Source organism: Homo sapiens, chromosome 17 (genome assembly GCF_000001405.40).
Source record: "Homo sapiens chromosome 17, GRCh38.p14 Primary Assembly".
Lineage (NCBI taxonomy): Eukaryota > Metazoa > Chordata > Mammalia > Primates > Hominidae > Homo > Homo sapiens.
This window is the reverse complement of record NC_000017.11, coordinates 5,507,065-5,517,073: the sequence shown is the minus strand read 5'-3', so window position 1 is coordinate 5,517,073 and position 10,009 is coordinate 5,507,065. Positions and strand designations below refer to the sequence as shown.

Sequence of the window (10,009 nt, the reverse complement as noted above, 5' to 3'; positions counted from 1 at the left end):
ATGGGTTAAACCGATTTGGCAATTTCAGATACTCTCCCCTGTATCGCTCAGTATTTTTGAGGTAGGCAAGAGGAAATCAAATAATAAATTTTCTGGGATAGAGAAAATTTATGGACTCTTAGTCTAGTACCAACAATCTAAGAACCCAAACCCCCAAACAGTCCTTCTAGGACAACCATCCCTAGTCAGCTCTCAAAAAATGGTGAATCTACCTCTGAGCTGCAACAAGCTGGCTTCACAGTGTAGTGGAAAGAGGATGGGCTTTACTGAATCCTGGCTTGGGTGCAACCACAGATGGAGAACTAACCAGCCCCAGCTTCAGACCTGGATTCAAATCCCACTCTGGCACTTACTTGCTGAGTGACCTTGGGAAAATTACTTAATTCATTTGAGTCCCTCGTCTGTAAAAAGAGGATCATAATGACTAATTTGTAGGAATGCTGGAAAGATTAAACAAAGCGATGTCTATACATGCCTCATGCAGTAATCCTTAACAAATCGTAGCAATGTTATCTTTTTCCTCATGTTAAGCCAATCTCTGCCTCTTATCAGTCTTAATTCTGTCCCTTGGAACTCATAGAAAAAGTCTATCTCCTTCCCCTTAAATCTAAAAAGCCATTTAGATTCTCAAAGACTGTGGTCATAGCATTCCTGATGACTCTTGTTATGCAAGTTAGACATCTCAGCTCCTTCCATCATTCCTCTTCTATTTTGGTTTGTAAATTCTTTGCCATCCAGTCACCTCCCTCAGTAGATGCTCCAGTGTGGGAATGAGTCAGAATTGACCCCTGGACTGTCCAGTCAGCAGAGAGCATGTAAACACCCTCCTTTCTCCACCTACATGGACCCGGTGCTCCTGGTACCACAACCTGAACTCCCTCCCCTGTGCCCACCTCCCTGAACTGTGAGATCACACTGAACTTAGAGCCTGCTCAGACTCTCAGGCCTTGTACATGCGAGCTGCTGTGAACTTCCCCTTTCTCTCCTTTGCAAAGCAATTTTTAAGTCCCTTCATTTTTGTCGTTGTCTGTTTTTTCTGTTAAAATTAATTTGTTATTCCCATGTCCTAAGATTGCTTGATCTTGATTCTAGATTCTGACATCCAAATCCAGAACGTACACCTTTGGTTGGTGCCAGTCTAGAAGGCTAAACAAGAACAAGGAAGTAGATTTCTGCTCAGACAAGGAGGTGCTAAATAGTTCAAGCTATCTAGCAAGGGGTTTGGTTAGTTCACCAGGGATACAATTCAGGCCAACACGGGATTAAAACCAAGTCTGGGATGTTATAGGAGAAATTGCTATCGCTCATTTGGATGTCTTCTATTACTGTATGATCACAGCTTCTGAGCCTCAGTTTCCCCATATGCATAAGGAAGGGATTCACCTAAATAACCTCTAAGGACCCTTCCAGCTCTTACTCCAGATTCTACCAGAATTTGTCTGTGGCTTTTTTCTAAATCAAAGAATCTCAGAAGTGAGTGGGAGCTTGGAGGTGTACCATGTGTGTTAATAACTTAGCACTGTTTCAGATGCATCTTCATCTCTGTTTTCCTCCAGGAGATCTCATGCCTGCAACTACTCTGATCCCTCCAGCCCGCATAGGTCAGTAACAGCTCTCAGAGACCACAGGAGGCGGTGGCAGTTCTGGGGTACTGTCTGGTTCTGGGGGAAGGGAAGAGAGAAAGGAAGGGACTCATCACTGCAAACCTCACAAAGAGTCAGGCCCTGGAGAGCGGTGCATGGTCGCTCCCCATACCCCCTTGTCCTATCCACAGAGACCCTAGAATTCCTTATCTGACAGCCTCCAATGTGCCCAGCAGGAACCCCACTCCCGATCCCCACTCTGGCAGAATGCCAAGCTAGATGCTGCCATGAGGGAGGACACAGGTGCATTTCTGGAGGCAGAAGGAAGCGAGGGATGCAGAGATGAGAGAGGAAAGCACTGAAGGTGGGGATTGGAGGTGGAGGCTGTGGTTGGAGCCCTTCTTTGTTCGTTGCCAGCCGTACCTTCACCTCTGGATGCCCCGCAGTTGCTGCACTTTGTGGACCAGTATCGAGAGCAGCTGATAGCCCGAGTGACATCGGTGGAGGTTGTCTTGGACAAACTGCATGGACAGGTGCTGAGCCAGGAGCAGTACGAGAGGGTGCTGGCTGAGAACACGAGGCCCAGCCAGATGCGGAAGCTGTTCAGCTTGAGCCAGTCCTGGGACCGGAAGTGCAAAGATGGACTCTACCAAGCCCTGAAGGAGACCCATCCTCACCTCATTATGGAACTCTGGGAGAAGGGCAGCAAAAAGGGACTCCTGCCACTCAGCAGCTGAAGTATCAACACCAGCCCTTGACCCTTGAGTCCTGGCTTTGGCTGACCCTTCTTTGGGTCTCAGTTTCTTTCTCTGCAAACAAGTTGCCATCTGGTTTGCCTTCCAGCACTAAAGTAATGGAACTTTGATGATGCCTTTGCTGGGCATTATGTGTCCATGCCAGGGATGCCACAGGGGGCCCCAGTCCAGGTGGCCTAACAGCATCTCAGGGAATGTCCATCTGGAGCTGGCAAGACCCCTGCAGACCTCATAGAGCCTCATCTGGTGGCCACAGCAGCCAAGCCTAGAGCCCTCCGGATCCCATCCAGGCGCAAAGAGGAATAGGAGGGACATGGAACCATTTGCCTCTGGCTGTGTCACAGGGTGAGCCCCAAAATTGGGGTTCAGCGTGGGAGGCCACGTGGATTCTTGGCTTTGTACAGGAAGATCTACAAGAGCAAGCCAACAGAGTAAAGTGGAAGGAAGTTTATTCAGAAAATAAAGGAGTATCACAGCTCTTTTAGAATTTGTCTAGCAGGCTTTCCAGTTTTTACCAGAAAACCCCTATAAATTAAAAATTTTTTACTTAAATTTAAGAATTAAAAAAATACAAAAAAGAAAAAATGAAAATAAAGGAATAAGAAGTTACCTACTCCATAGGCACAGCAGTCCCGACTGGCTGCTGGTTGGCTATTTTTGTGGTTATTTCTTGATCGTGTGCTAAACAAGGAGTGGATTATTCATGAGTTTTCCAGAGAAAGGGGTGGGAATTCCTGGAACTGAAGGTTCTTCCCCCTTTCAGACTACTTAGGGAAACTTCCAGATGCTGCCATGGCGTTCGTAAACTGTCATGGCGCTGGTGGGAATGTCTTTTAGTATGCTAATGTATTAAAATTAGCATATAATGAGCAGCGAGGACAACCGGAGGTCCCTTTCATCACCATCTTGGTTTGATGGGTTTTGGCTTCTTTACCACATCCTGTTTTATACGAGGAGTCTTTGTGAAACCAGTCCTGCCAACCTCCTATCTTATCCCCACCTCAGACATTACATACTCGTCCTTAATCTTAAGAGGTTGTAGAAGGACAGAGATCTATCTTCTGTCACTGCTTCATGCTGAACAGGGGCCATCATCCCTACCTGCTCTGGAGGCATAGAAATGTCTTCGTACCTGATCGAATGACTTATAGGGACTCCATCTTTTCTGCAGTGGCACAGGCTGGAACACTGGACTAATTATTTTTCTCTGAAACTGTTGTAGCCTGGAAGACATAAACTTGAACCGTCCGAACACCTGATGAATATAACAAATATTTTTAAAATCAAATAGCACCTAGTGATAATTCATAAAATACTTAAGCCCAGTTTTAAAGAAGAGATCAAAGCCAAGCATGGTGGCTCATGCATGTAATCTTAACACTTTGGGAGGCCAAGGCAGGAGGATCACTTGAGCTCAGGCTTTTGAGACTAGCCCGGGCAACATAGACTTTGTCTCTTTAAAAAAATAAGAAAGAAAAAAATAAGAGATCAGATGCCATTTGGAATCTAAGTGAATAGGCTGGAAAACTAGTCTTCTGTTGTCTGAAATACAAAGCCAAACAGATTTTTAATAAGAGAGATTTTTATGAGAACAGAAGAAAAAAAGGTTAATGCTGGACACAGTCTATCCAGGTATTAGACTCAAAAGCATCTTTAGTTATAAAGCAGGAAAGTGGTGGCAATCTGACACGCCTGTATCACAAGGTATAAGCTTTAGCTTGCAGGGCCTCAGGAGAAAGCTAGTAGTAATTTTACTGTATGCAGATCTCTAAGCTGGGGGTGACACAGGAGGTGGGCAGGACTGGCTTCACAAGATGCAGGTCACAAAGACTCCACTGATAAGATGCGGTAAAGAAGCTGGCCAAAGCCCACCAAAGCCAAGATGGCAATGAAAGGGACTCCTGGTTGTCCTCACTGCTCATTATATGCTAATTTTCACCCTCCTGTAGGACCAGCTCCAGCAGTTGTGGGACCCAGTGCAAAATGGAAACACAGGGCCCCTCGTTCAAAAATGATAAGAATGTCAAGACGGTGACAACAGAACATGAAATCAAGCGCCAGGCCCTGCTGAGCTCAGGGCTCTGTGTGACCGCACAGGTCACACACCCATGAGACTGGCCTTGTCTTTCGGGTCCTTCACGCCCCACCCACCCATCTCCTTTACCACATGCAGACCTCCACTCTCCACACAACCCTTCCTCCAAGAGGACAGTCAATGGGAAGTAAGAAGATTTAAAAGACAAGGGGCAAAGAAAAATGCAATGGTGTGTTTCCATTGTAGAAAACCTGGTCGTGGAATTGCGGATTGCCCTGCCGCCCTTGAAAATCAAGATATGGGCACTAGAAGATGTTACAAGTGTGGGTCCACAGATCACGAAATAACCAAGTGTAAGGCTAAAGTAGACCCGCCTCTTGGCGAATGTCCTTTTGCAGAATGTTTTGTCTGTGGAGAAATGGGGCACCTGTCTAGATCTTGTCCTGATAATCCCAAAGGACTCTATGCTGATGGTAGTGGTTGCCAACTTCATGGCTCTGTGGAACATTTAAAGAAAGATTGCCCTGAAAGTGAGAATTCAGATCGAATGGCCACAGTTGGTCTGTGGGCAAAGGGAATAAGTGCAGACTATGAAGACATTGTGGATGCACCAAAACCACAAAAACCCAAAACAAAAATACCTAAAGGTGTTAATTTTTGATAACAACTAGTACTGTCATTAGTTACCACCTCATTGTTACTTTCTAAACCAGGCCCACTTCACAAGTTACAGCTGGGCTCCCTTGTAGCCAGGACTATACTGTAAATATCAGTATGATCTGGGTGTGGTCAAAAACAATTTTCAACAGAGAGAAAGAAGAAAGAAGAGAGAGAAAGAAAAAGGAAGAGAAAGAGGAAGAGGAAGGAATGAAGAAAAAGAGGAAGGAAGGAAGGAAAGAGAGAAAGGAAAGAGAAAGAAAGAAGAAAGAGAAAGAGAAAGAAAAAGAAAAGAGAAAGGGAGGGAGGGAAAGAAGGAAGGACCTACGCGAGGAGGGGCTCCGCCAACCCTCTAAGCCCCGCAACCCCCGCATGCCCCGCCTCCTTCTGCAGACCTCCCCGTCCCTCATCCCAGCAAGTCCTCACGTTAGTTGCCGGAAGCCTAGGAAATGTATTCCTAAATCTGGAGTCGTCTCCATGGCAGCGAGCCCCGAAGTGGAGCCAGTCTTGGAGTAGGAGAAAGGCCAGACACAAACAAGTGTGTGGGGATGGGGGAGACACACATGCATGTCCGCTTTGGATCCAGATTCTCTTTTTTTTTTTTAGACGGAGGCTCGCTCTGTCGCCCAGGCTGGAGTGCAGTGGCGCAATCTCAGCTCACTGCACTCACTGCAACCTCCACCTCCCGGGTTCAAACGATTCTCCTGCCTCAGCCTCCCGAGTAGCTGGGATTACAGGCGCCCACCACCACACCCGGATAAATTTTTGTATTTTTAGTAGAGACGGGGTTTCACCATGTTGGCCAGGCTGGTCTCGAACTCCTGGCATCAAGTGATCCGCCCGCCTCGGCCTCCTAAAGTGCTGGGATTACAAGTGTGAGCCACCGTGCCCGGCCTGGATCTGGATTCTAATAGCAACAGCTAGAATTCTGAGGGACAGGCAGTGAGCTGGGAATCAAATTCTTGGCTCTACCACCCATTAGATGTGTGATCTTGAAACAGGTTTTCAGATGTGTAAGAAGGGAATAGCAAAGCTTGCGTCAAACGGTTGTTTGACTAGGTGAGCTCATGAGTGGGAAGTTGTTCTGGGCGAGCTGGTACACAACACTAGGCAGACAGTAAATCTTAGCTTCTTTGAGCCTGAGGCTGTTGTAGGTGCCAGTGATAACAGAGGCCAGAGTATCTATTCTCAAGCAATTTATATTCTAGTGGCAAGGAGATACGAAATACGCACCCATGTCTGTAATCCCAGCACTTTGAGAGGCGAAGGCCTGAAGATCTATTGAGACCAGGAGTTTGAGACCAGGAGTTCAAGACCAGCCTGGGCAACATAGCAAGACCCCGTCTCTTAAAAAAAAAAATTTTTTTTCATTTTTTTGGCCAGATGCAGTGGCTCATGCCTGTAATCCTAGCACTTTGGGATGTCAAGGCGGACGGATCACCTGAGGTTAAGAGTTTAAGAGTTCAAGACCAGCCTGGCCAACATGGTGAAACTCTGTCTCTACAAAAATACAAAAATTAGCTGGGCATGATGGCAGGTGCCTGTAACCCCAGCTACTCGGGAGGCTGAGGCAGCAGAATTGCTTGTACGTGGGAGGCACAGGTTGCAGTGAGCCGAGATCACGCCATTGCCCTCCAGCCTGGGCAACAGAGCGAGCCTCTATCTCAAAAAAAAAAACCAGTTTTTTTAATTAGCCGGGCATCGTGGTACATGCCTGTATTCCCAGATACTCTGGAGGCTGAGGCAGAAGGGTCCCTTGAGCCTAGGCTCCAGTGAGCCATAATCATGCCACTGCACTCCAGCCCTGGAGACAGAGCAAGATCCTGTCTCTAAATAAAAATAATTGGCTGGGTGCTTACCTATAATCCTAGCACTTTGGGAGGCTGAGGCCAATGAATTGCTTGAGTCCAGGAGTTTGAGACCAGCCTGGGCAGCATAGTGAGACACTGTCTCTATTTAAAAAAAAAAAAGAAGAAGAAGAATAGAAGAAAGATCTTTTTGAATAGAGATAGATGGCAACTTCCTCAGAATGGATGTGACGGTTGAACAGCACATGGAGATGATGGGAATGAGAAGTGCAGGGCAGCAGGGATCATTCTCAACAATGGTGGAAAATTGGAGTCTTCCAGGATCACTGTGTTCAGACTAATCCACCCTACATGAAGTTTTCTTTCTCTTTAAAGTGGGCCACTTGGAACAGGGACCCCTGTCAAAGAATGCATTCAAGAATCATGGATTTGGCTGGGCGAGGTGACTCACGCCTGTAATCTCAACACTTTGGGAGGCTGAGACGGATGAATCACCTCAAGTCAGGAGTTTGAGACCGGCCTGGCCAACATAGCAAAACCCCATCTCTACTAAAAATACAAACAAAATGAGCTGGGCGTGCTGGCTCATGCAGTGAGCCGAGATCACGCCATTGTACTCCAGTGTAGGCAACAAGAGTGAGACTCCATCTCAGAAAAACGGAAGAATCATGGAATGCTTCCACCAGGCACTCTGATGGATGGTGGGAGCCCTGGGCTGAGCTTAATGCCTTTCCTGAAGGAGTCACTCTCCCAAGGAGTAGGATTTGCCAGGTGCTAGAATCCGATAGAGGCCATGAGCAATACTTGTCTCAATGGTGGGATAACTACAGATTTAAACTTTGAGCCATGCACACACTCTGGTCCAGGCCCCAGTCCTGGAGCAAGAAGGAAGCAGGGGAAGGAAGAAGGTCCTCTGGAACCTGTGATTACCTGTGTTGTGTCAGGTTGTATGATTGTGGGGACCCCATTGAGTGCTACTCACAGGTTAGCCCCAGGCAGGTAGGAATGAGAAGGAGGAGAATAGGAGAAGAAGAGGAAAGGCTAGACAGGAGCATGACTGTTGGAGAGAACTTGAAGGGAAGTCTAGCAGTAGTATGGACGCTGTGCTATTGGTCAGGAGTCCTGCTGTGTTCTTGGTTTCCTAGCAACTGCTGTTAAGCAGGTAGTTGCTAGGCAATGCGGGGCCATCTAGGCGGTTAGGTAAGGACCTTTGTCTGCGTGGGCATGAATCAGACCATCACAGAGTATTGTTAATCCTGAAAATGGCCACTGGGTCCATTACTTAGATTTTTTTGGCCTTGTTGCACAGAAACTAATATAACCATGGTGCACAAGTTCTGGTCAAATGAGAAAGAAGTCACCCCATGATCTCATTATCCAAACAATACAAAAATTCTGTCTTTCCTCTTTCCATTCCAGTCTTTCTCTGCAGGAACACATTTTCATCTTGTTATCATCCTAGTACATGGGGTTTTAAACCTTGTTTTTTTGACTTTGATTTAGATCATCACAAGCATCCCTCAAGCTACTTAAGAGTTTTCAGGATAATCTTCCCCTGCATGACTCCTTGCAGTAGATATATCATTTACTTAACTATTCTCCTCTTGTTCTGACATTGAGTTTGCTTCCAATTTTTTGCCACAATAAGCAGTACTGCAATACACGTCTTTCTGCAGAGAGCTTTTCGTTATCCTTTAGATCACTGTCTTGAAGTCAATACTAAGGGATAGTATCAAAGGGCATAAATAGTCTCATGACTTTCTATATTTTGCAATAGCTTCCCTCATGCTGGGTGCAGTGGCTCAAGCCTGTAATTCTCACACTTTAAGAAGCCAAGAAGGAGGATCACTTGAGGCCAGGAGTTCAAGGCCAGCCTAGGCAACATAGCAAGACTCTGTCTCTACAAAACAAATTTATTTTAATTTTTATTTTTCTTTTGAGACAGAGTCTCGTTCGGTCACCCAGGCTGGAGTGCAGTGGCGCAATCTCAGCTCACTGCAACCTCGGCCTCCTAGGTTCAAGTGATTCTCCTGCCTCAGCCATCTCAGTAGCTGGGATTACAGGTGCACACCACCATACCCAGCTAATTTTTTTTTTTTTCTGAGACCGAGTCTCGCTCTGTCCCCCAGGCTGGAGTGCAATGACACGATGTCAGCTCACCGCAACCTCCGCCTCCATGGTTCAAGCAATTCTCCTGCCTCAGCCTCCTGAGTAGCTAGGATTACAGGCGTGCGCCACCACGCCTGGCTAATTTTTGTATTTTTAGTAGAGATGGGGTTTCACCATGTTGGCCAGGCTGGTCTCGAACTCCTGACCTTGTGATCCGCCCACCTAAGCCTCCCGAAGTGCTGGGATTACAGGTGTGAGCCACTGCGCCTGGCCGCTGGCTAATTTTTTTCTTTTTTGAGACGGAGTCTCGCTTTGTTGCCCAGGTTGGGGTGCAGTGGCGCAATCTCGGCTCACTACAACCCCCGCCTCCCGAGTTCAAGCGATTCTCCTGCCTCAGCCTCCTGAGTTTCCAGTAACTGGGACTACAGGCACGTGCCACCATGCCTGGATAATTTTTTGTATCTTTAATAGAGACGGGGTTTCACTGTGTTAGCCAGGATGGACTCGATCTCCTGACCTCGTGATCTACCCGCCTCGGCCTCCCAGTGGGATTACAGGCGTGAGCCACAACACCCAGCCAATTTTTGTAGTTTTAGTAGAGGCAGGGTTTCACCATGTTGCCCAGGCTCGTCTGGAACTCCTGGACTCAAGCAATCTGCCCACCTCGGCCTCCCAGAGTGTTGGAGTTACAGGCTTGAGCCACCATGCCCGGCTGAATTTCTTGATTCTTTAATGGCTGGTTTTTGTTTTCTTTTGATTTTAGAAGGCCTTAATTTGAAGACCTTTAATTTAATTTAATTTAATTAATTTAATTTATTTGAAGACAGTTTGAGGGAGAACAAAATGTCCTCACAGTTATTTTTTCATTATTTTAGTTGAATATATCTATAATATAGTTTATGATTACAACCATTTTTAAGTGTAAGCACATTCACCTCGACGTGCAACGATCACCACTGTCCATCTCCAGAATTTTTTCATCTTCCTTAATTGAAATTATGTACCCATTAAATAATAATTCCCCATTCCTGCCTCCTTTCAGCCCCTGGGAACCACTATTCT

General features: G+C 46.4%; 2 protein-coding genes and 1 pseudogene across 6 annotated transcripts in view, besides 1 other annotated feature; all 3 read left to right on the top strand.

The window, feature by feature from the left end:
- Positions 1–10,009, top strand: part of NLRP1 (NLR family pyrin domain containing 1) — an 83,114-nt gene that overhangs the window by 67,436 nt on the left and 5,669 nt on the right. For 4 of the 5 annotated variants that reach the window (NM_033007.4, NM_033006.4, NM_014922.5 and 1 more), the window contains 2 exons: positions 1,557–1,601; positions 2,001–2,956. The exons of the other annotated variant lie outside the window; for it this stretch is intronic. In NM_033007.4, coding sequence (NP_127500.1) covers positions 1,557–1,601; positions 2,001–2,320 — 365 coding nt within the window. In that variant the 3' untranslated portion in view covers positions 2,321–2,956. Of the gene's footprint in view, positions 1–1,556; positions 1,602–2,000; positions 2,957–10,009 lie in introns of those variants that run through there. 5 annotated transcript variants of the gene reach the window in all.
- Positions 708–896: a silencer, noted in NCBI's record as "fragment chr17:5419498-5419686 (GRCh37/hg19 assembly coordinates)". NCBI's record gives its function as "represses an EF-1alpha promoter that drives an FKBP-Casp9 reporter gene in an ReSE screen in HepG2 liver carcinoma cells and K562 erythroleukemia cells {active_cell/tissue: HepG2 | K562}" and the evidence as "EXISTENCE:reporter gene assay evidence [ECO:0000049][PMID:32094911]".
- Positions 2,804–2,864, top strand: RNU7-31P (RNA, U7 small nuclear 31 pseudogene; annotated as a pseudogene).
- On the top strand, positions 4,348–5,122 carry LOC101928044 (zinc finger CCHC domain-containing protein 9-like). The gene has a single exon (XM_047437231.1). It carries the CDS (start codon positions 4,447–4,449, stop codon positions 5,032–5,034), a length of 588 nt encoding a protein of 195 aa, XP_047293187.1. The 5' UTR covers positions 4,348–4,446; the 3' UTR covers positions 5,035–5,122.